The 26,995-nt window shown below is 36.6% G+C and overlaps 1 long non-coding RNA gene across 2 annotated transcripts; it reads right to left on the reverse strand.

Moving 5' to 3' along the window:
- Window positions 1–2,207: 2,207 nt before the first annotated feature.
- On the reverse strand, window positions 2,208–25,133 carry LINC01938 (long intergenic non-protein coding RNA 1938). Of its 2 annotated transcripts, none has more exons than NR_183276.1 (5): window positions 24,790–25,133; window positions 23,263–23,459; window positions 22,306–22,391; window positions 22,096–22,163; window positions 2,208–3,654 (listed from the first exon to the last, which is right to left on the reverse strand). It is a non-coding gene; the product is annotated as a long intergenic non-protein coding RNA 1938 (long non-coding RNA). The 2 variants fall into 2 exon arrangements; NR_183277.1 differs by lacking the exon at window positions 2,208–3,654 and adding an exon at window positions 20,106–20,196.
- Between the last annotated feature and the right edge of the window lie 1,862 nt (window positions 25,134–26,995).

Consider the following 26,995-nt stretch of genomic DNA (forward strand, 5'->3'; position numbering starts at 1 on the left):
ACTAAGGTAGAGGTCATATATGTGAGTTAATCCATCATTTAATTATTCAATAATTATGTATTAAGAGCATATAGTTTGCTAGGAAATGTGTGAAGAGCTGAGACCCTGAGCTGGACACCTTTTTCCCTGGAGCTCACATACCGCTAAGTGAAAGAAAACATACAAAAGCAATAAATAAATAAACTGATTAATTGTAGCTTATGAAAAGTGCTCTGAAGGAAATGTTAAAAGAAAATCTTTAGCCAAATTAAATGTAATAGAATTTAACTGAGCAAAGAAGGATTTGCATTTCAGACAGCCTCCCCAGCCAGAGTTGGTTGACAGAGACTTTGCGCAGCTACAAAGGACAGGATAAGGAAAGTGACATAAAGAAACTGGAAGTGAGGAACAGAAACAGCCTCACTTCAGCTTAGTGTTTTTGCCTTATTTGAACATGGTTTGAACAGATGGCTCCCTTTGATTGTCCAAAACTTGGTAATTGGCACAAAAGTAGGTTACAGTTTGTTTACACCTCCATTTAGGTTAGAGTTCACTATATAGTTATACAAAGAAAACCTTTAGTTTGAACTTAAAATATGTAAAGAGGCAGCTGTAGGCTAAACTTGGTTTAACAAAGTAATAGAGTAAATGATAGAGTCAATTTAGGGAGGTACGGTTAAAGAGAACCTCTTCTGGGCCAGGCGTGGTAGCTCATGCCTGTAATCCCAGCACTTTGGGAGGACGAGGCGGGCTGATCACCAGGTCAGGAGATCGAGACCATCCTGGCTAACACGGTGAAACCCCATCTCTACTAAAAATACAAAACAATTAGCTGGGCGTGGTGGCGGGCGCCTGTAGTCCCAGCTACTCGGGAGCCTGAGGCAGGAGAATGGTGTGAACCCAGGAGGCGGAGCTTGCAGTGAGCCGAGATCGCACCACTGCACTCCAGCCTGGGCACAGAGCGAGACTCCATCTCAAAAAAAAAAACCTCAAAAAAACAAAAAAAAAAAACAAAAAAACTAAAGAGAATCTCTTCTAAAAGGTAGTGTTTAAGCTGAGACTTAAAGGTAAACGAAAAGTCAGCTCCCTGGGTGAACAAATAAGTTTTGAAGCTGTAAAATCAGAATGATCTGGAGATGTCTAATTCTAATGTGGTTAAAGAACATAATACTTTCTTTGATTTCAGTTCTTGTGTTTTCTTTAAATCACAATGAATAGTATTGTCTATTTTTATGAACGTTCTATGTACACTGTAAAGAATGTGTGCTTTGCCGCTGTTGGGTGCTGTATAAGTGTCAATTACATACATTTGGCTGATGGTGGTATTCAATTATTCTGTATCTTTGATGATTTTCCTTTTAGTTTTTTTCTATCGGTTACTATAAAAAGACTATTGAAGTCTCAAGACATAATAATGGATCTTTTCACATCTTTGGTTCTATCAGTTTTTCCTTTATGTATTCTGAAACTCTATTTTCTTGGTGAATTGAAGATTTTTATTATTATATAATATCCATCTTATATCACAGGTAATATTTCTTGTTCTGAAGTCTACTTTGTCTGATGTTAACATATAGCTACTACAGTTTTCTTTTGATTAGTTGTTGTATACCATTTTTGCCATCCATTTACTTTTACTCTAATTATATATAAACTAGGGTTGTTGTAGATAGATATGGGTTGTTTTCTTAAAAAATTAAAGATATCTTGACAATCTCTGTATTTCAAGTGATGAGTTTAAAACATTCAAATTTAATAGAATTATCAGCATGTTTAAATTTAGATCTACCATTTTACTGCTGGTTTTCTAATTTTTCTTTTTCATTTTTTTGTCTCCCCTTTGCTGCCTTCTTTGGGATTAGGTAAATGCTTTTTTTTTTCTTTTTCAGTATTCTATTTTAATTTATCATTGAGTTTTTGAAGATATCACTTTGTATAGTATTTTTGGTCGTTTCCCTGTAGGGATTATGACACATATACTTACTTTTTTACATTCTATTTAGAGTCAATATTTTATCACTTTAAAGGGTAAGCAGAAAATCATCAAAATATAGGTACATTTATTCTCCTTTTATGTTGTATATTTTGTTATAATTTATGTTTTTAATCATTGTGCATATTTTAAAGAACTGAAGGAGAGAAGAATAGTCTCTTATATTTTACCAAATCTGTTACTCTTCCTTTATTCCTGGTGTTACAGGTTTCTTACTGACAGCAAATGCTCTTAGTTTAGTTTCATCAGGAATATCTTTATTTGATTTTCATTTATCAAGAATATTTTTACTGGATAAAGATTTCTGAATATAGAATCATTTTTTGCATCACTTAAAAAATGTTGTTCCACTTCCCCTTAACTACCATGTTTCCTTATATAAAATATACAGTATTCAAATCAGAATTCTCCATTTGTATTGAGTTTCTGGGTGCATTCAAAAATTTTTTCTTTGTTTTTTAATTTCAGAAGTTTTAGAGTGTAGATTTTTTGTAGCTTCTTCTCCTTAGAGTTTCCTGAGCCTCCTCAGGCATCTTTAAGATTTTATCTTTCGCCAAATTAAGGAAGTTTCTGGCTATTTTTCTTTAGATATTTTTTCTCATACTTTCTTCCTCCTTCTGTGGTTCAGATGACACCAATATTAGGCTTTTTGACATTGTTTCACAGGACTCAGAGGCTCTGTTCATTTTATTTTTAAGTCTCTTTTTACTCTCTTCTTTGAAATAGTTAATTTCTCATGATCGGTATTCAAGTCATCTGCCTCTTTTCCTCTGTTATCTCCATTATCCTATTTAGTCCATCCAGTGAATTTTCTCTTTGGACTGTCACATTGTCCAGTTCTAAAATTTCCATTTTTCATCTTCATATATTCTTTCTCTTTGCTGAGACCTTCTATTTTTCTATTCATTATGAGTCTTTTCATTTGCCTGTTAGAGCATGGTTATAATATCTCTTTAATGTCTTTATCTGATAAATACAACATTCCTGTCATTTTGATTGTGATATTTTTAATTGTCTTTTTCTTTAAGAGTTAAGAGACGATCACACTGGTTTCTCATATGCCAAATAATTTTAAATTATATCCTGGGCATTTTGAGAATATGTTATGAGACTCTGATTATGTCTTAAATCATAAGAAAAAGGTTGATTTTCTTCTTATATTAAGCAATCAACCTATTCAGGCTTATGGAACAAACTCTGATCTGCCTTCTTTGGATTGTGACTCCAATGTCTGCACCATTTCTTTAAGTGTTTTCAATGCTATTTGGATCAGTCTGTGTGTGCATTTCCAAGTAGCAATTTTTGGCCTGGGTGATGGTCTTTATTGTAGCTTAGTTTTCAAAGCCTTATTATACCATCTGTGGTCAGATGTTTACATGCTCAGTTCAGGGTATAGTCCAGCAGTACATACGCAACTTCGTGGTATTCATCTCTCTCTCTTCTCACATTCACTGTCATTCTAACTCTTTCTTCAGCTCCCTCATTTTTGCAATCTCCATAATACTTCTCAATTTCCTGAAGCCTCTTTTCCACATCCTCTGGTGAAAAAGCCCAGGCTTTAGTTTACCTGTTCTTCTATGTACTTCTCATAACTGAGTTTGCATTTTGAGCCAAATAGCAGGAGGACAGCAAGAAGTCAAAGCAACAGGGATCTCCCTTCTGTTCTTAGGATCATGACTCTTCTGTTAAAAAAAAAAAAAAAAAAAAAAGTTAGACTGGGTGCTGTCAATACTGTCACATTGGGGATTAAGTTTAAACATGAATTTCAAAGGGAACAAACATTCAAACCATGAGATCACTTTATTTGCATTTTTCCTTCAATTCCCTTTTCAATCCTATGAAATGTAGGCATCACTATTTCCAATAATAATCAGAGACATGGCTGGGCATGGTGGCTAACACCTGTAATCCCAGCACTTTTGGAAGTACAGTTGAGAGGATTGCTTGAGCCAAGGAGTTCAAGACCAGCCTGGGCAACATAGTAAGTCCTGATCTCTATAAAATAAACATAAGAAAATTAAAAAAAAAGGAAAAAGAAATGTTCCCTCTCCTACTTTTAGGTGTCTGTTGAACTACCATTATTAATGCTTCAGCTATAGAATTCTCTCAGGGCTAGAGTACAGGAGATAATGGAAAAAAGAAAGAAAAATAGCCACCAAGATTTCTCCCACTCTCTGTTTGAGAAGTCCCGTTTCCTATTTCATGAAGCTCCTGGAGCTCTTTCTGCCTTCATCCAGCCTGCAATTTTATGCTGCCTTTGTTTCTAGGCCAGGAAATACAGGAGAGGGGAAAAATGGCAATTTCACCACCAGTTTAGTGATACCTTGAATTACCATCTTTTTTTCCAATCTACCTCCTACCATTTATTCTTTACAGTCCTCAGATATCTGTACTTAGTCTTGCATTAAGTGAGAGAGACCCTGTTCAGGAACCTCCATATTTTGGCCTGCTAAAAAAAAACAGAATTTAAAAAGGTGACCAGAGAAGAGTGAGTGATGGAAATTGAAGGAAGGGAGTGCAGTTGGGGATCATAGACAGGAGCAAGATCATAAATAGAGGGTGTTTGGATTTCATTCTAATAACAAGAAATTTCTAAAGAATTTAATCAGGACATAGATATAATATGTATATTACAAAAAGATCACTTGTACTGCTGTATGGAGAATGAATCGTAGGAATTTAAGATGTATGTTGGTGGTTTAAACATTGAATACAAGTTGCATAGAGAAAAAGCATTTTCAAGGTGGGGCACAATAATTTGTCAATGGATTACATATGGGGAAAGAGGAAAGCAAAGCGATAAGGATGGTGCTGACATTTTTACCTTCAACAACTGGACAGGCAACAGTGACATTTACTGATATGAAAAAGATGGGGAAAAAGCAAGAATTAGAGCTGAATGTAGAGGGGTTTTTGATCCTTTGGATGTGCTACGTTTGATACACCAATTATGCACCCAATTGGAGATGTCAACTAGGCAGTTCGAGTCATTCTATTCCATTATCGTGAGTGCTACTGATGGTGAACTATGTTGGATATATTTGGCATAGGTTAAACAAACAAACAAACAAACAGAACATATAAAAGAGCATGCATAAAACACTCAAATATATTTCTCTATTTCTCACAAATACTCATGATGGGTCAGTAGTGCCATGTTACTATAAGCAGAAATCATCCTATATTTTCCTGGAAGCTTATCAGACTCACATTTGTTGGTGATGGGTTGCTTGGAGGTAATTTCATAAGAAGCCTAAAGTTCTTAAATTTTATTTTTATTTTATTTATTTATTTTTTGAGACAGAGTCTTGCTCAGATGCCGAGGCTGGAGTGCAGTGGCACCATCTCAGCTCACTGCAAGCTCCACCTCCCAGGGTTCACGCCATTCTCCTGCCTCAGGCTCCCGAGTAGCTGGGACTACAGGCGCCCGCCACCACACCTGGCTAATTTTTATTTTTTATTTTTTAGTAGAGATGGGTTTTCACCGTGTTAGCCAGGATGGTCTCGATCTCCTGATCTTGTGATCTGCCCGCCTCGGCCTCCCAAAGTGCTGGGATTACAGGCATGAGCCACCACGCCTGGCCTAAAGTGCTTAGATTTTATTATATTACTTATAGCTGTAAACCAATATTTGTTTTTGGTCTCTTTTATAATCAAAGTACAATATGATGCACTACTTCTCAATGTCTGAGTTATTTGAAACAGAAAAAGATCTTCCGGTACTTTTAACAGTTCACATTGTTCTTTCTCAGGCCTTGTCACTTTGATGCCTCTCTGCCTGTGTGTGATTAACAGATGATTCCTTATCCTTCATTTAGTCTTCTGGTCTCTAATGAGTAACTATTATTCAGAACACCGCTTAATGAAAAAAGACTTACTGCTTTCTGGATCTTTTTTATTGTCTAAGGTTTAGAACTTGAGGACCACCTGGATTCCTACTTGCTAACAAATCATGACATTCTTTCAACTCCTCATTACATCTGAATTATTAGCCTAAATCAGGAAATGTGCACACACAAATGCACACACACAAACATATACACTGTACAAATATATGTGCATACACACATATTCCCTGTGGTGAGCAAGATAGGATGGCCCTATACTTTTGACATTCTATCCGGATCTCTCAGGAGGAGGGATGTAACAGGAGCCATGTTCCTCCAGAAATAAGACAGTGAGACAGAATGGCATCTAATTAAAATGTTTATGGCATTTCCCATGAGATATAAGCCACTGACATTTTCCAGACTGCAAGCCAAGAAATGCTTAGGATTATACAGATGTACTTTGCAATCTACAATTGCCATGCAATGAAAACATAGCTTAGACACAGTTCAGGAAATATAGATTGGTTAACCTTTCTTTAGAACTCAGAAATTAAAAGTTAGGTCCTATGAGAATTTATGGTAAGTTGAGCAGCTCATCTCTTCTCAAAGTAAATCAAGAATCCATTTTCTCTTTTCCATAAGTCATCTTCCTCTAGAGTAGTTTCTCTCATCTGTATCTGAGGCTGCCAAAACCGCAGCTGCTTCATTATATCTCCTACTCCCAACTGCTGTACTCTTCCTGCTAATTCTCACAGTTTGGCAGTCCTACACTATCATATTTCCAAGAGGTGAACGATGATGCTGACCTCAGCTCTCTTAACCTCAGCTCTCTGTCCATTCCTCAGTTTCTCATAATATCAGTCATTCATGCCTTTGAATAAATGTTTATCGAGCAACTAACTACCCTGTTCCAGGCACCCTTAGAATGATGAGATGTGTCAGTAATCAAAGTAGACATAACTTCTGTTCTCCTGCAGCTTACATTCTGAGGGGGAGAAGGAACAAATAATTAACAAGAAATAAGCAAAGAACATTATTTTCTGTGGTGGTGAATACCATGAAGAAAATAAAACAAGCTAGGGGAAAAGATAGTGCTAATGAGAAGAGTAATTTGGTCCTTTACCTTCAATCCTTCAGCATGCAAGTCTTCACTTCCTTCCTTCAAGGATTGGTATTGCCCTAGAATTGATTCTTTCACTCACAGAGGCATTCATGAAGACCCCAAATGCTCAGCTTATTTTTCATAGTTCATTTTTATTAGTCTAAAATAACTGTTTTAGGCTGAAAATGGAGAGCGCACTTTGTCACTCCAAGCTTAATTTCCTATCGGCAATGGATGTAAGTCTTTGCGTTATTATGCAAGGCATCATCAATTCTTGCTTTTTCACTCTCTGAGACCTGAAGATTTTTCGGTACATTTTCTAATAGAGACATCTATCTGTTGCTTCTACTTATATTATTTTTCCAAAAATTCTGCAGAACCTTTGTGAGGAAACTAAGCATTCCTGTACATTGAGCTAGACTTGATTGTTAAGCAAAATTCCTTCCTTTACTAATCACTATAAGTGGAAAGGTGGCAATATATAGTATTCTCCCTTTGTGCAGAGAAGTGGATTGCAGTGGGATGGAAGAGAGGAAATATTTTACTATTTCATTAAAATAAGATAGAATATGCTTTGGAACTAAAGAAAACATTCCATATGAACATTTCTATTAAACTGAGTTTTACCTAGAAAATCCGCAGACATGTTTAGAAGCTAAGTATGAATTTGGATAAAGCATCAATATAAGAAAGCATTCTTAACTATTAATAAACCTCCAAAGACTGTATGCTAAAGATAGCTTTTAAGTGGCTGTTAACTTTAATCAGGAATATTTTCTAAAACTGCTTATATTTATTTACACCTTCTCTCCAAAAGGACTCATAGAAAACATCTTTTGGGTTTTTTTTATTTTTTTTTAAACTTGTGATAGTCACCACTCAGCTAATGTCCAACAGGCATTCTATTGGCCTTTCCATATGTCCAATGCATAGCAATATATATGCCTAAAAGCAGAATATAATTGGGATCACCTTGGCATACACACTTTCGCAATAGACCTAAGCAGAAAGCTATATAAGACATACTGCTTCTCGGCCGGGCGCAGTGGCTCACGCCTGTAATCCCAACACTTTAGGAGGCCGAGGCGGGTGGATCACGGTGTCAGGAGATCGAGACCATCCTGGCTAACACGGTGAAACCCCGTCTCTACTAAAAATAAAAAAAAAAAAACTAAAAAAAAAAAAAAAAAAAATTACCCAGTGTGGTGGCAGGCGCCTGTAGTCCCAGCTGCAGTCGGTGTGGTAGCAGAGCTACAGCTGGGCATGGTGGCAGGCGCCTCCGTCCAGACTAAGGCAGGAGAATGGCGTGAACCCGGGAGGCGGAGCTTGCAGGGGGCCGAGATCACGCCGCTGCACTCCAGCCTGGGCGACAGAGTGAGACTCCGTCTCAAAAAAGAACAAAAAACACAACAAACAAAAAACCCACCATACTTCTTCTTAGGTATCAGTAGCAGGGTTTGAGAGGTCATGATAGATGATAGATCTCTATTTTATATTGCAATGGAATATATTAGCCACATGGCAAAAGGGGTTACATATGCAGTCTAGATTCAAGAATACCAAACTATATGAGGTTTGAAAACAATTTCAGAGCAATGGAATTCCATTCGTCTAATTTTATTTTTTCTTTTAAATTCAAAACACATTCATTGACATAACGTAGGAATTGTAGATAAGCAATTTTAAAAAGACTTAGCATTGTTAAAACCTTAGGACATTTTTCAAAAGCCTCTTTTTTATAGAAATTGTGATTTTGTATTTTTCTAGTAGTCTGATCTCTTTTCCCTTATACCTGGCACTGTGCAAGATTCAATGGTGAGCAAAAATTATTTAGTTTCTGCTCTCAGATTCTAGAAAATATTGTAAGTATCTTTCCATGTTGATACATATTCATTATCACATGAATACCTAAGTCTATACTTTATGTATTATTTAACCTTGTCCCATGCAGACATTTCATTTTTCTCTACCTTTTTTCATTATTCACAATAATTCTCCTGTGGAAATCCTGGAAGCAAATGTCTCTTTCCTCCCACCCAGTTCAATTTGACTTCCTACCTTCTCCTCTAATTTAGTGCCAGCTGTTGATCTGATTGTATCATGTGCACTGCTGTAGAAATGTGCACTATTGTAAGAAGTGCTTTGTATGCAAACCAAAAGAATTGTGTAATTCAAAGTCTGTAGTGGTTTTTGATGCCATCATATTCAGCCAGCAATACTTTAAAAGCCAATTCAGGTGGCACGCAGTGGCTCATGCCTGTAATCCCATCACTTTGGGAGGCTGAGACAGGCAGATCACTTGAGGCCAGAAGTTCGAGACCAGCTTGGCCAACATGGTGAAACCTCATCTCTGATAAAAATATGAAAATTAGCCATGCCTGGTGGTGCAAGCTTGTAATCCCAGCTACTCAGGACTCTGAGGCATGAGAATAAGTTGAACCCAGTAGGTGGCGTTCTCAGTGAGCCGAGATCATGCCACTGTACTCCAGGCTGGACAAAAGAACAAGACTCCATCTGAAAATAAATAAATTAATTAAATAAATAAAAGCCAATTCAGGGAAAATCAACTTTCCAGATACTGAATTTATGGAATGACTTAATTTTAAACACCTAGCACTTCCTCATTTCTGGACATTTTATATAAATGAATGAGCTTTCCCTTAAACATAGATTATTTTTCTTTAGCTTGAATACTTACACTTTCTGAGAATTGATCATTTGACAAATTGACTTCAGACATATTGCTTACCCTCCCCCAATGAAACATTGCTGAAAAAATGGCTTGTACTTGGAGGAGTGCAGGTAGTAATACTTACTTATCCAACGTCATACTACCATCCCTTTCTGTAGCCTCACAAGGATTTATATACATGAATCAAAGCAATAAGCTCACAGAGCTCATCTTCCTTTCTCATAGTATCAAGGTTTACCCTGATAGGTGGAAGAAGGAAGTGATAAATATAACAATATCTAATCTCATGTCCATGAATAAAGAGGGCTTCCTAAGTTTGATTTATAAATGATCATTAGACCTGGCACTTATAGCCTATATGATTTTTCAAAGAGATCAGTTTTGCCTGCAAAGCATGAATGCAATAAGCTGAGTCATCATCTCCAATGTTTCACCCAATTGCTGAATTCAAGGATAGGTAGTAGAAATGGTCTTCAGAAAGTTTTCTCATTCTAAAACACTTAGATCTGCAGTCACAGCTGGACTTCATACGGTTTCAAAGCCACACAGCTGCTTAAGAAACCCCATGACTCTGCCTTGATAAATAGTGGTTCCTTGAAAGTTTGAAAAGCCAGAAATGAAATCCTAATTTCAGATAATAGAAATATAAATCAGAATCTCTTCTGTGCTTTGCATTTGCATGGAAGGTGATGGTAAATTTTGTTCTTTTTCTATCCTTTTATCTATTCTTTGTTGAGCATATGGAAGCTACAGGCAGCCTATGAGTGCAAATATTTACTAGGCTTGAGAATAAGAGGAACAAACACAATCTAAGGAAATAAATACATTGCACTATATAGAATTTAAAGTAAACATTACGTAAAGTGGGCATAATTCATCCTTTGTTTTCCTACTAGATAAGAAAAATCATATAGCAAAGCATAATGTAAGATGCGGTAGTTACCATACATTTAGTATAATGGCTTAAACACATTTTCTCTGTAGGAAGTATTCCTATGATAATAGGGCAATATGAAAAATTGCCTGTGATAAAAATAAAATATGAATGCAAAAGATAACTCAGTGTCTATGACACCCTAAATACAATATTATATTATGCAAATATCCATTTATTCATAATATATACACACTGTGAAATCATATTAAGTAAATATCAATATGTAATTCCATGGAGTTTCCTATGATTATTTTCTAAAATATTAAACTTAACATTTAATAAGTTCAAAGTCTTTTGCCCCACTTTAGTGCCTCAGGTTTTGAATTTAAAAGCTCTTACATTTTATAATACCAACATGCAAATAAACACCAGCCTAGCCATTAAAAAGCATTAATCAAGTGTTGTTTATACTGTCTGAGCTCGTCTAGAATGTACAGACAATGTTAACTCTTTTCTGAATGTATGTGAGATTGCAACAAAGGAAGTTTATGTTAACCAAAATGCTCAGATAATAAACTATTCAGCCACCTTTATTAACATATGCTGTGTAGCAGATCCCACTATTTGCCCACTCAGGATCTATTTGCTCCTTCTGCCTTGCTTAGAGTACCCTGCTTTGGTTTATGGAGGAAGATAGATAATGATTAACATAACCCAACATGAGAATTATTTTTCCTGCTTTGACATTCGCCTTTGCAACTAGTGGTGATCTTGGGACGCAGTTGAGGTTAGTGAGGCTCAGAAGAAAGTCTATTGGAGGAAGTGGGGTGACTTTCCTCGTAAATTAGTACAGATATAGCTGCCCCCTTTTTCTCATTCTTGCTGTGAACATGGCCATGATATCTGGATTTGTAGCAACATCTTGGAACTAGGAGACAGATATGAGAAAGAATTCAAGCATCTACACTATGGCAGAGTGGAAAGATAGAAAAATCCATTTCTAACCCACACTTCACTTCATTTACTTAAAAGATAAAAACTCTCTAACTCATAAGGACTTTTTCTAATGCTTATTTTCCAAACTAAATTCTATATCTTTAAATCTCCACAAAAGACTTCCTTAATATAGCAGAAGTTTAAGTGGACAACTCTACCATGATTCGGGCTTTCATATCCAGATTTTATATATAAAAATGTATAGCTCTATTAATACATGTCAAGTCTGCATTTTGCGAGGGCTGTTCATTTAGCTTTGTCACTTTTCTATTTCCTTGGCCGAGTTTCTTTTCTCTAGTATTCTCCCCCAAATGGAAGCTAAAAATATCCAAAATCTATAACAAAAGGACCTCAAAGATAATACAACAGGACAAACGGAATCTAGTTTTCCAGATACTTTGGGGAGTCCATCATGCCTAATTCTTTGCTGCCACACTGGCAATGAGAATTGAGGATGATCTTGTCTTCCCTTGGGCAGCCGGCTCAGGAGGCTTTGTATGAGGCATGGGGGTGCTACTGCAAATGGTATGGTACATGCAGTAGACAGTAAGAATTGATGGCAAAGATAAATAAAACATCTGTTCATATCAGGTGTGCACTGGGTGAATATCAGCTCTGAATATAGATACAAATAAAATGTAATATTGATTGCTATGGTTATAAATGTTTTATAAACAGATTGTGTGTTTTTCTTAGCATTGAAAGGAAACTAGAGAGGAAATAATTTGAAGCAGAAGCAAAGGAGAAGTAAAAAGTATATAAATATAGGTTTCAGTTGCCACTTACAAAATATAACTAACTAATTTGACCCAAGGTAGAGTTTAACATACTGAAGTCAGCTCAAGGTTAGGAAAGACAAAAAAAAAAAGGTTAAAGGTAGAGAAAGTGATGAAGTCAAATGCTGCTAATATGTCAAGTAGTATGAGGGCCCAAAATTAATCATTATATTTAATTACATGGAGTCATTGGTGATCCTCAGAAAAGCAATTTCTATGGAGTGTTTCGGTGTACAAGCCTGATTGGAGAGAGTTCAAAAGTAAATAAATGGAGGAACAAGTTTATCCACATCACGAGCAAGCAATGAGCCAAATCTGGGATGCAGGACATTCTACAGCACAACTGGCCTGGCTCTTCAAACAAGTGAATGACGTGGAAAAAAGGGGGTAGGAAGAAAGGTTGTTTTAGATTAAAGGATATCTAAGAGCTGTAGCAACCAAATAAAAACTGTGGTACTTATTTGTATCCTGATTAAAACAAACTAGAAAGTTGGAGAAGGTTAAATATGGACTGTTTATTAAACGGGATTAAGTAATTACTGTTAATTGTGTTCAGTGTCCTAATACATTTGTGGCATGTAAAGAAATGTCCTTTATGTTATTTTTGTTGCATTCTGAAGAATTTGGGGGATGAAATTATATGCTCTTTTGTATTAGTTTTGGAATTCAGGAATAAGAGAGGGGGCATGGGAAATAAAAAGGATACAATACAAAGATGCCAGGCTTCAGACAGATCTGTATTGAAATTTGGGGTCTGCTCATTGTTGCCTTTATAAGACATGGTACAGTAAGGCATCTAGTGATTGGAATATAAATGAGTGCGTAGCAATAGGTATTTGTTAAATGAATGAATGGATGAACAGTGAATCAGTGATAGTGGATTATGATGAATTCCAGTATTTTGTAAACAAAAAAGTTGGGGGACATACGCATACACAACTAAAACTATTCTTCTATCATAATGTAAATTGCACTCTACATAAAATATGAAACAAGAATGAGACTCGACTAACTCTGATAATCATCTATATACTAATCGCATCTATATCTTAATGAATGCTTAATCTTATGCATTCGTTGAACACCTGTTCTGGATAAGGCGCTGGGCTTGGCATTTGGAAAATATAGTGAAGGCATAGTCAAAGTCTCTGCCATTTAAAAATATGTAAACTATCTGGAGTTGGGAAGGGAGGCATATGCTTGAATCCAAGGCAGATAGAAATTAGTCAATAGATGTTTGAGTAACACAGTGAGAGGAAACAGAGAAAGGATTTTTTTTTCTGGATGGGTAAAGCAGGAAAGTCCTCATGATTTAAATAAAATTTGAAATTAGAGACTACATGTCTTAGCAAGATCTGGTTGTGGTGTCTTGTTTTTTCCTGGCAACGAGAAAGAGATTACACAAATCAAGAGTTTATTTATTACTAGTCATCAGGTATTAAAACAGCCTTTGGTCCTTAAGCTTTGATCCTAAGTGATTTTTTTTTCTTATGAACCAGCATTTATCTGACCATTGACTCACACACTCCCCAAAGCATATTGTAAGAGTCACTTCCCTTTGTAAAGAGCTGCCACTTCACTCTCCAAAAATATATTAGGATGAATAAAAAATATAAAGACCAAAGATGTTTTAAATCATTATGCAAATAAACAGCTCCCACTCAAATGTGGGAAAGGGCAATGTGAATGCTGGTGGTGGCTCTATAGATACTTGAGCTTTGCAAGGACAAGAAGGGACAGTGCTGTTGCTGCTATGGTTGGCGCTGGATTCACTTTTACCTGTGCATGATGTGCCCTACTGAGCTCTGTTTCCCACCCTTTTTATTTAGATAAGGATGAACAATCTGTGGGGGAAAATTTACTCTAACTTGCTTAATCATTAGCTTCTATTCCAGCAAAATGTTAGAGTAAAAATGGAAGGACAAGGAGAAAATAACACTTCAAAAGAGCACAACTGAGTTAGTGTTGAAGGATACTTAGGCTGTTAGATGGCAGAGTTCTGAAAAATGAATAGATACGTCACTGCAGTACAAAAGCCAAAGCCTTTTATTTACCAATTCCCTTGTGTTTAGTTAGGAGTTCAAAGGGTTTTGAAAGCACTCCTCCGTAAATTAAAATACTCTCCAGATGTTTTGGCACTGTAAATGGCCAGGCTAAAACTCACTTTTAATGAACTGTATTTTAATGTCAGTCTTTCTCCTGTCTCCTTAAATGACAAAGAACTCATCTGACTTTGTAATGAATGCTCAACTGCTCCATTACCAATTCTGCCATTTATTGTGCCTCTGTATTTTCCTGCAAATTCATGGTGATTTTAGATGTATCGAGGAGGAGAAAGGTTGGGAGATTTAGAAAGAAAATAAACCTAGAATCAGTGGGACATGAACTCTCTGCGTAGAATACAAAAACCTAGTTGTGACAATTTCCTTACAGGAAACTGAAGGTTTGAAGGCCAGAGGAAACATAAATAAATACAGAGGATATTGAACAGAATAAATAACCTGAGACTACAAGCTTAGAATCCATGACTTTGAGTTGGCTGTAATTCCTGTATCACATTCTTGATACTTAGAATCAAAGGTTTAAAGAAAATTGTGTCCAGAGGTTTCACAGAACTCAGCTTCAGGATTATTTGGATCAATGTATTTAGAATTGCTTTTGTTTTGTAAACTTACATATATATGACTTTTTTTTCTCTACTGTTCTGCCCAGTGAATTATAAAACCACTGACATCATGACTAGATGAAATGTTATATAATTTTCTTTATCAGTTCCTCCTTTCAGAAGTCCTGATATATTCAATATTTGCATCATTTTGCCACATCAGATCTTTGAAAGGCTTTATGCTGTTTTGATATTTTGAGTTTTGATAGCAATACTTTTATACGTTGAGTAACATATATGTTCAACACTAGCTTTTTACTTACATATGTAACAATCCTTATAACAACCTTGAAAGATGAGCTTGATTATCTCATTGGGCATATAAAACATAGAGCTGAGAGATATTTAATTGTCTAAGGTCACAGAACTAAGAAATGCAAGAGCTCAGAGATTTGAACCCTGCATTAGTCCGTTTTCATGCTGCTGATAAAGACAAACCTGAGACTGGGCAATTTACAAAAGAAATAATTTTAACAACTTACAGTTCCACATGGCTGGGGAAGCCTCACAATCATGGCAGAAGAGCAACTCACATCTTACGTGGATGGCGGCAGGCAAAGAGAGAGAGAGATTGGGTGGGGAAACTCCCCCTTATAATTCCGTCAGATCTCGTGAGACTTATTCGGTATCATGAGAACAGCATGGAAAAGACCTGGCCTCATGATTCAGTTACCTCCCACTGGGTTCTTCCCATGACACATGGGAATTGTGGGAGTTAGAATTCAATATGAAATTTGAGTGGGGACACAGCCAAACCATATCAAACCCTGTTGAGCCTTACTCCAAAATCCATGTACTTTTCTGTCTGGAAACCCATTTTGCTTTTTGGAAGTGAAACTCATGAACAACCTTATAAAGCAAGAATCAAATGTCTCTTAATCAAGTGCCTCAGTTTGCCCAGGATTGAGAGGTTTCCTGAAACATAGAAATTTCAGTGCTAAAACTAGGAGAATCATGGACAAACCATGAAGTTGATAACTGATATGGTTTAGTTGTGTCCCCACTCAAATCTCATCTTGAATTCCTATGTGTTGTAGGAGGGACCCGGTGGGAGGTAACTGAATCATGGGGGCAAGTCTTTCCTGTGCTGTTTTCACGGTAGTGAATAAGTCTCATGAGATCTGATGGTTTTAAAAAGAGGAGTTTCCCTGCACAAGTTCTCTCTTTCCCTGCTGCCATTCATGTAAGATGTGACTTGCTCCTCCTTGCCTTCTGCCATGATTGTGAGGCTTCCCCAGCCACATGGAACTGTAAGTCCAATTAAAACTCTCTCTTTTGTAAATTGCCCAGTCTCGGGTATATCTTCATCAGCAGCATGAAGACTGATTAATACAGTAACTTACATGCCAGGAAAAGCCCCTGTCAAATAATAGAACATTGAAAAAAATTATTGGTGGAATGGATGTGTAAGTAAAATATACTTTATCATATGTTTTCTTCTAGACAGTAAAAGTGACTTGGAATCTTAGAAGCATCAATGTGTAGACCAAATACTGATTTACATACAAATCTAGAAATATGCAAATTTATAAGTGAAATTATATAGAGAGCAGTATGACTCAGCATAGTTTTTCTGTTACTTATGGATTCTAAGTCCTGTGATAAATGTTACAGAAGTAATTCATCGTATTAATTTGACTATTATAATCACTAAGTAAATAAATTCAAATAAAAATGACTTTATTGCATCATATTCTTCTTGCAGTTCCACTATAGAGGAGATGTTTAGGTTAATAAATGTATGTTAGAATATGAAGTAAGGGAGAAATATGTATGCTTGTGTATAAAAAAACTATGATATGTTAAGTATTTAATGAACTTGACATATTTCCTCGTGAACATACTTTTCAATCTTGTTCCTTGAAATTCACTGTTAAAGTAGATAAAGCTGCCACTCTGTTTATAATCATAAACTACTCAAGAATATTATGTTGAAAGATCCTATCTTTAAGACTTTTTTATTTCTTTCATTAATTCTATTATTTAATTTGAATTTATGAATATCAAAAGAAGGTTTTGAAAACAGATTGTGGAAAAGCTTCAAATCACTGAGCTCTTTGAAATGCACTTGGTTTTACTGTATTGCTACTTCATTTGCTTTCTGCATTATACCACTATTTTGTTAAATTTTGCATTTGAAATGTAATTGCCTATTCAGTAATTCCTAGCATTAGTCAGATTTCTTGGATGACATAAATATTGATTTACTTTTACTTTGACTGATAAAAAGAATCACTATCACTGAAGCATGCAAAGAAAAAAAAAAAAAAACCTCTGTTGAGAAGTCTATTCAAGATGCTTTCATTTGAGCAATTTGTGTTTATAATTTTTTAATATGCCAACTTTATTACAAAAGACAAGTAAACTTGAGTAAACTTGAGTAACATTGGAAAGATTGCTTTTGTGGATGTTTGACTGTCATTTGTAGCAGCACCATCGGTGGGACAGCCATCAGTATCACCACTAACGGGGCATAATAAAAGCCATTTGGAGCCTTTCGTATTTGATAACAATACCTATGAAAAATAATAAAAGAAATAGGTAAAATATACTCTTGTAAGTGAGGATTTGTTTTAATATTCCAGTGTATTCATTTCATGAGTAAGGCTGCAAGATGCCTGGTCAATAACCATGGGGTTGGAACAGTGTGGGAACGCATTTCTGGAGAGATTCTCAGATCCTATGCTGTAGTCTAATAACATTTCTTTCACACTGGAGACAACACAGAAAGAAAGGTGTGAGGAGACGATTTTCTTCAGTCGGTTCATTTCCTGAGTGTAAACCAGGGTTTCTCAATTTTGGCACTATTGGCATTTTGAGCTGGATAAATCTTTGTTGTAGGGCTGTCCTGCACACTATAGGATGCTAAGCAGCATCCCTGGCCTCTACTCACTAAATGCCAGTAGCATCTCTCCAGTTGTGACAATCAAAAATGTCATCAGACATTGCCAAGATGTTCCGGGGGAGCAAAAATTCCCCAGTTGAGAGCAATTGGTATAAACTACAGTATCTTCTCCTTCACGTATATCACGTTTTAAAATCAGGTTAATTATCCAAATAACTTGTAGCTGTAGAAGAACAGGTTTAGTTTCTCCAAGTGGGAAGATGGATATGTAGGAAAGAACTAATAAGAAACTTATGGAAAGGTTAGGTCAAAAACTTTGTCCTTTAACTCTGAGAATGGTAGAAGGCGTGTCATCATTTTACATGACCTCTGCCTCTATTACCATCTACTGTATTTTATTTGCACGTATTCAGCCAACAGCTAAGGACTTCGTGAACTTGACTCACTGAAGGGGTCAGACTGCCATGCTCCTGAATTGTTCTTAAACAAATTCTCCATTGCATTAGGCACGAAGAAGCTTTTCTTTAATGTCAGGCATGCTTATCATCTTATTCCTCCTCATTTTCTTCTAGAATATGTGTGGGCACTGAAAAGGCAGTTCTTCCCTATGGATTCAGTTCCTGTAATACACCTTCCATTTACTGGATGCAACATATTTTTTATATATTGCTTTTGGTTTCTTGCTTTTTTTTTTAAAGGTGAAATTATATTTGCAGTGTTTATATCAATTAATGTACAAAATTATTTAAAAAATTAACTTTACAGTAATGTTTATGGCAATGGTTCCCAAATTGTGGTCCCCTGATCAATAACATCAGCCTTACCTGGAAACTTGTTTGAAATGCAAATTGTCACACTCTGTACCAGACCTACTGAGTCAGAAACTCTGAGATGGGGTCAAGCAATCATCTGTGCTTTAGCAAGCCGTCTAGACTATTCTAACAGTCACTAGAGTTTGAGACGCATTTGTGTGCAGCTTTCATTTTGGGGGATGTTGCAGTTTACCTGCAAACTGGAATGTGGGCACCAAATGCCCTTGAATATTTTTCCTTTAGCTATTCCTGTGATAGCAGATTTCTGTAAGTCAGAGAGCTTTAGAAAACTAACTAAAGGCAAAGCAAAACATGTATATTAATAGCATCTCCCAAGCTCATATTCACTTCATTTTTTCTCTTTTTCTTCTTCCTCTGCTTCTAAGAGGCCATAAAACATTTTCTCTTAGCCCTGTAAATTGGCAGTAATTGACAGCCAGCTTGGGAGTTGGGCTATAATTCCAAGTTTGAAGGAGCCAGGGACATGAACCCCTGCTTCACCTCTTAAGATGGATGTTAGGTCAGGAGCAAGGAGCAGTGGGATAAAGGTTTCCCTGGAAGCTTGGACTCAAGGCTATTGCCTGCAGCCTTTGCTTTCCATACATTGACTTCAATATAAGGGCTGCCAAATGAAAATACCTCTCACCAGCGTTATGGTCATTTTTCTTTTTAACCTACACCTGAATGACCCAGGAAGGGTTATATCCAATAACAAGTTTATCTGTGCTAGCTGACAAACTCCACATGTTCCCATCACCCTACAGAAAACAGTGCAAGAGATTCCAAGCTAGTGCTCCATTTAGCAAATGGCAAATAATAACGTCATCTTGACAATTACAAGCTGTTTCATGCTACTGACATGTCAGCAGTAGTAATTGAATATATAAAACTTCTAATGATATCAGGTGTCAATCTGTGCTTCATCCTGTCAACAAATGCTTCATGAGCATCTATTATATCCAGATACAGTGTACATAAAATTAAATATCATAGTCCTTGGCATCAAGATGCTCACAGTCCCATCAAGGAAACCATAAACCAATAATTATTTAAGAGCTAAATGCTATGATCAAACACATGCTAAGAGCTAAAATAAACTTACATCTGGATCTTTTAAGATACTACGATATTTCACGATTTATCCTTAGGACCTCTTGCTAAATGTTATATTTCTCAAGTCATGTATATTTTCTGATTTTTGGCTCAGAGAATAGGCAAAAAAGCCTATGGACTTAATTTTCAGTCTAGTTTTTCTGCTGATTTCTGTATATTCTTTTCATATTATACTGCTTACTGTTTGTGAAATATATGAAGGAATTCAGACATTTTTCTGGAGGCAACAGAGTCATTGTATTTACAATTCTAGGAGGAACCCAAGTATTTGCATGTTTTAGGGCATCTGGCAGGTTTTGCAGTAGTGGCTGGTGGTGAGAAACTTCCTAGGAGCGAGTAATAAATACCATAGTCTAGAATTTGGGCAGCAACTCAAATGGAGGCCAAAGAAAAGTAAAATTAAAACAAAGAGTGTGAATCATGTCTTTACATAGAAAAGTGTCAAAGCTCTCTTTAATAAGGGTGATATTTAAAACAATAGAACTGGTTCACTGCAGAAATATTTTCATTTAGATCCTGAAAGAAATTAATAATAAATTAAAGATCAATATCAGGAAAGTTTTTAAAAGATAGATAACTAGTAAAAAGGAATCTTTCTGTAAATATATGACCATCTATTAAAATGGTCTTCCCATAATATTTTATTTACCAACCTATTATGCTAGACTCTCAACTTGAAAAATATAGATGCTCATAAAAAATAAAGCAGAGAAATGAAATTCCTACCCTAGGGAGTGATAGCCGATAAGTGAGGAAGTTTATTTTTGTGTACCACTCTTACCACCACCATCACCACTGCCAAAAGGCATCTTTCTAGTCTTTACCTCCTCTGTTTATAGCAACTTCATTGACCTCACTGTTCAATTCAGAAACTGGAGATCTGTCTTCACTTCTCTCTCTTACTCTTCATTTAAGACTAAGTCCTGTGTACTCTTTCACTAAACTGGCACTCCAATGACATCATCTGAGTCAAAGATAAGACCACTTCTCCCTTGAATATGTTGTATCCTGCCAATTACTTTTCTCATCTCCACTTTTGCCTTCATCATCCATTCTTTACATAAAAGAGCAATCTTTTAAAAGAGTAAACGGGAATTCTCCTTTTTAAAACACTTTAGTGGCTTCCCATTGCTCTTAAAATGAAACTTAAACAACAGCATATAAGGTAACCATTACTAATATACCCAGATTACAGGTGAGGGAACCAAGCTTTTAACACTTAATTTTATCAAAAACATATGATTGGCAAATGGCTGAGCCCAGCCAATCTCAATCTAAGTAAGTAATCTGCTACACATTTGCTGCCCCCTGGAGTGCTGGGTTTACGGTATTACTGGATAGACATGACAAGATACATAAAGCTAATTATAGGACAATCATGCCAAGAGCTGTCAGATATAAATATTAATAATGATAATCATAATATCAACAACTAAAATTTTCCAAGCATACATGTTGAAGACCTATAAACTCAAGGCTTTGTGCAATGTCATTTTTAATTCTCACAGCAAAACTCATTTATTCTGAATACCAATGTAGGATTTTGAACACAGATGGGTAGCATATGGAATTAAATATTCTGTAATCAATGTATCCTACCGTTTACTTGCTGTGTGATTTGGAGAGAGAATTAATTCTAAGCCTCAGTTTCCTCACTCTCTTTAAAGGGCTTAATAATAATGTTTATTGGCGGGGCGCGTTGGCTCACACCTGTAATCCCAGCATTTTTGGAGGCCAAGGCAGGTGGATCACGAGGTCAAGAGATTGAAACAATCCAGACAAACACGGTGAAACCCCGCCTCTAGTAAAAATTAAAAAAATTAGCTGAGCATGGTGGCACGCACCTGTAGTCCCAGCTACTTGGGAGGCTGAGGCAGGAGAATCACTTGAACCTGGGAGGCGGAGGTTGCAGTGAGCCGAGATTGTGCCACTGCACTCCAGCCTGGCAACAGAGTGATACTCTGTCTCAAAAAATAGATAAATAAATTAAAAAAAGATGTTTATTTTATGTAACTGCCTTGAACACAGAAAAGGAGATTTTATTATAAAACATCTGCAGCTAAAATAGTGACAATATCATTAGAGGTATGTTTTCATATGAGTATGTGTTTAGATGTATTTACTTAAGTGGCTTAAGTAAATTTAAGTCATTGGTAATTTTAACAATGCTTTTTAAATAAGTAGATCTATGTTGACACACTGAGGCCATGTAGAGGAAGTAGAATATTGTCATGGTGGCCAAATAACAAATATTTTTCTTTCCTTTAATATTAGCAATTTTATACAAGTATTTCATTAAAGCAATTTAACTGAATGCAATTTAATTATAGTCCATTTGTATCCAGAATTTAATCAGAGAAGAAAACCATTAGGAGATCAATAGGCAGATCTATACAATTGTTACATGAATCTTACCTTATGCAATTGTGGGAGTTAGTTAAATAGTTTCCGCAAGGTTTTTGTCTTTGCTTGTGGTGCTGGAGCTTGAAGTCCACAAGGAAGGTAGTTGGAAAGGGAAGATGATTGTAAAGTGGGGAAAGTAAAAAAAAATCTAGAGTTAAAATATACAAGCTGGAGCCACAGAACAATAAACTGAAATGCATGCCATTTCTTGTTGCCTCTGACCTTGATGGTATAGGTTAGGTCCGTCAGAAGATGAGTCTCCTCACCGTGGAGTTAAATACAAACACCTGGCCGCAGAGTCAGAAAAGCTGAAGAAATATCAAAGGGAAGGTGCACTAGTTGTAGGTCCACCTCATGCCTCACATCAATAATTTAACCAGACTGACAAAAATATGTGCAAGATATAAAATAGTTGTTGCTTTACTTCCACCCACTAAATCGCCTGCAAGAATCTCTCTTGGCCCACCCTAAGTGGAGATATACAGGGAAGGGTACTCTGGGAAATGTAGCCCAGTACAGCCAAGCTGACATAGTTTGCAGAGCCAGCACAATCCACTCCTTACCAATTTGGCACTCATAAACATCTTAAATCATACTTAGACTACACAAAAGATCATGACAAAGTCAAACTTCCACCTAACATGGTGTATCTCTTCTAAGTACATCTGAAAATAGGCTTTTTTCCTTTTAGTAGAACACAACGTCGTGTTGTTGTTTTTTTGTCTTTGGATGATATTTATTCTTCTCCCAATGCATGCTTCAAGTTGGATATCTTGTAATTTCAAGACTATGATATAAATTTAATTACTATTAATACATCTTTGATAAGAAGAAAGAGAAAGAAAAGGGAGATACTTGGTTAATACAAATACAAACATAGTTATACCAAAATAAGAAATAAGTACTCACACTATTCTAGTCTTGTTTCTATAATTGGTCATGTGGCCATAACTGATGTTTATAGCTACCTTCTTCCCCTACTCATTTCATATTTTCTTTGCACTGAGCTAGCCTCTCAACTGGTCAATGTGGCGTAGTGACACAGTTCTCACTTACTGAAGTATCTGGAAACATCCTGAATTGGGCTGCTATAGTTTTCCACATACTTTAATCACAGGACCTGGGAATACCAACAAACATTCTAGAGGATCTCCCGCATCATAGAAATGCTCCTCTTACTCTGTTTGTGTAGTGGCCACCGAATTTCTCCTGGGTGGTTAGGATCTATAACTCTCTTCTTTGCCCGTTGATTCAGAGGCATGAGGAGCCCAAAGTGTTCAGGTGGCAGTCTCAACTTCCTGTTGAATGGAATCATTGTCATGTCTCCTGGGAGATGCATTCTTCTTTTGGAACCCAGATGTCTAGACCAGCAGAAACTGAAGTGGTAAGGATGGAAGACAAAAATCCAGTTATTGGATTGCTAGGGATAATGTTCAGAGGAAGCATTCTTATTTCTACCCCTTGGTTCCTAGATATGTAAATCCTAGTTGTTAGAGAAACAACGTCATATACCATATGCTGATTTAATGCACATATTTTATCCTGGAGGACATTTTTCTAGCCCTGCATTATGTTGCCACCCAGATGCTGTCATGAATAAGACTTGAAAGGGCCATTTCATCAGTCCATCAAGCTAGCTGCTTCAGCACAATAGAGAATATGATTAGACCAGTAAATTCCATGGGTTTGGGTGTATTGCTGCACTTTATTTGCTGTGAAATGAGTTTCTTGGTCAGAAATGATGCTATGTGGAATATGGTGAATAAGATATCCTGTAAATCTGTGGACAGTTTGAAGATGCACTGCAAGTAAGAAGGCAAATCTATATCCAGATTAATAGCTTGACCAGTGAAAACAAAATGCTGTGCCTACAATGACAGAAGTGGCCCAATGTAATTAACCTGGCAACAGGTAGCTGGCTGATCCTTCAGGAAATGGGGCCATATTGCAGGAATGGCCCCATTCCTGCAATTCGGGGTATTCGGCAATGGCTGTAGCTATATTGGCTTGGGTGAAAGAAAATTCATGTTGGTGATGCCATAGATAACCTTGATTCCTGCCATGATGGCCACTTTATTTATGAGCCCATTATATAATGACTGGAGTGGCTGGGAAGCCAGTAATGAAAGACATATGTAAAGTCAGGGAGATTTAGAAGAAGCTGGAAGCTACAGGCATAGGCTGAAACCCAGTGAGAATTTACATTGAAACCTGTGTATGTTCTCACTGCCTCTGAAATTTTTGGCACGGATGATCTGAAGTAGTTGAAGTTTTTCATCATGAAGTTAAACACACACACTTGGCCCAAGAATCAAAGAAACTGAAGGACAATTTAAGAAAATATAGAGCAGTCTCAGGCCCAGCTGTAGCCTCATGCCAATGAGGTCAGTTGAAAGATCAGCAGCAACATATGTGAGCAACAACATGGTGCCTGTTTTGCTTCCTTTCTCTAAGTCTCACAGAAGAATGTCTTTGTGGTCCATCCTAAACAGAAGCATACAAGAAAGGAAATTCCAGAAAACGAAGTTCAGACTAGCCAAGTTAAACATTACAAAGCCACTTCAAAATGGTAAGAAATGTTAGGTCCCTAGATGATTGAAGTCACTATATATTTTTGGTTTGGAGAACTTTATTATAGACAGAGAAGGGAGAGTTCAGAATTGGAAATCTGGAGAATGGGAGTTTCTGTCATAGTTCAATCATTACCTAAACACACGATCTTTGTGAGTCCTTTATCCTTACCCAGCCTTCATTTCTTTAGTTGTAAAATGAAGCGGATACCCTGGATTATATTTGAAAGGCTTCCCTGTTTAGTAGGTAAAATAATTGTTGGTCAGGATGCTGAGAAACAAATTCTGGTTATACCCCCTTCTGATCCTTGTGCAAGAGCTTGGGCTTTCTGTGCCTCAGTTTCCTCTTCGGTAAACAACAATAGTATTACAGAACTCATAGCAATGTTCTAAGAATTAAATGAGTTAAAATACTTAAAGCTCTTAAAGTCACGAGGAGTATGTAGTCATCACAGATTAAATGTTAGCTAGTGCAGTAGCCACAATTTGCCTGTGAATTTTATAATTTCTTGTCTCCTGTAGAGGTCTAAAAACCATATGCACTGTCTCAAAGTCAGTGCTTTGACTTAGGAATTAGAAGGAAATTACCACAGATCTTGGTAAATTTGTTTTGTCATTGGTAAATTATATGATTTTTCTCTCTTTTTTGATACTGATGCTATTAATAAGGTGCATTGATTATCCATAATGAGGTGGACATGGTACAAATATGCAAATAAAGCAATTATTTAGTGGCCTTAACCAAGGGAGAGTATAACAGGGTATGGAAGGTTATTAATGGTGTAAAGAATGCTGACAAAGGAGCTTTTTCTCTTTAATAACAATGCCTAAAGAAGTGGGTTTCAAGTAATTTAAATAAATAATACTGATATGTATTTGGAGAACTACCAGAAATGATCTTTTGTAGACATAAAGTCTGATCTTAGTTGAATCTTTGATTTCTTTTTACCCACTCACCATTCTCTCCCCTTGTTTCAGTAATCTAAATACCATGTAAGGGCATGTTCTGAAGCCTGCTTACCTACCCTTCTCAAATAGCTGCCTACTGCTCTTGCTCTTGTGAGCTCATTTTCTGCCTTCACTCATGTTCTTACTGAGGGTATATGAGGAAGACCTCATTAAAACAGAATCATTATGTATAAGAAGAAAGAATCATTAAATTTAAAGAAGGAAGCAGAGAAGGGAAGGGGATTTATTGCCTCGCGTAACTAAGAAACCCAGTGGGCATTGTGGCTTCTGACATGACTGCATCTGGAATTTCAAACAATGCATCTGCTTCTCTCTCTGTCTCTCCTCCTCCTCACCTCCCTCATCCACTCATCACTATCCCTCATCCACTCATCACCATCCCTCAGCTTTGATATATTTATTATACATTAGCAGGTTTTTCTATGTGCCAGGAATAGTGGCTTCTAGTAGTTCCAGAGTTTGATTCTTAAAGCTGGTTGGCCCAGAAAAATAGAGTTCATGTATCTCCCTCAATGTCCCTATACTCTAATACAGTCATACAGTCTGCTTTGGTTACCTACCCGCCCATGTGTGTCAATCTGCTTGGGCTGCCATAGCTGAATGCTTCAGTCTGGGTGGCTTAAACAACAGAAATTTATTTTCTCACAGTTCTGGAGGCTCAAAGTCCACGATTAAAGTGCCAGCACAGTTGGTTTCTGGTGAGATCTTTCTTCCTGGCTTGCAGACAGCCACCTTCTCATGGCCTCAAGTCCCTAGTCTAATTCTATTTCTTGATCTCGGTTTTTTTTTACAAATGTTTTTTTTTCTTAGTCACATACTTATTATATTTTGTTTTCTGTATCTGTGTCTGTGTTTTCTGCATCTATGTTTTACCTTACAATAAAAAGGTAACTCTATGGCTAAGTCATGGGATAGCAAGTTTCTAATTTAAAACCATATATACCAATTCTCTTTACAGTAACCAAAGATAGCCAAATCGCCAAGGCTGAGGTTAATGTTGTGGGGAACTGTAATGATCTTACAAGAAAGGTAAAGAATAAATGGGAACAAAAATGGACCTGTTACAAATAGAATGACACAAAACTAACAAAAAGGGGTGGTTACTCAAACTAAAAGAGTAGTGCCAGGACTGCTGAGAAGTAGCTGGCCTCTAGATATATTAATAGGCAAGTCCTGGGAGAACTTGATGATTAATTCCATATGAGTATTGGGAGAAAAGGTTATATATTTCCGAATTGAACTACAAGGTCAATAGTGACATCTTTCAGAGAAAGGGAACAACTGAGGATGTAAAGTAAGGTATAACAAAGTTGGGAAGGGAAGAAGATTATGAGTTCAAGTTAGACAAATTGTCTCTAAGTCACCAGTGATAT

Source organism: Homo sapiens, chromosome 5 (genome assembly GCF_000001405.40).
Source record: "Homo sapiens chromosome 5, GRCh38.p14 Primary Assembly".
NCBI classification, from domain to species: Eukaryota; Metazoa; Chordata; class Mammalia; order Primates; family Hominidae; genus Homo; species Homo sapiens.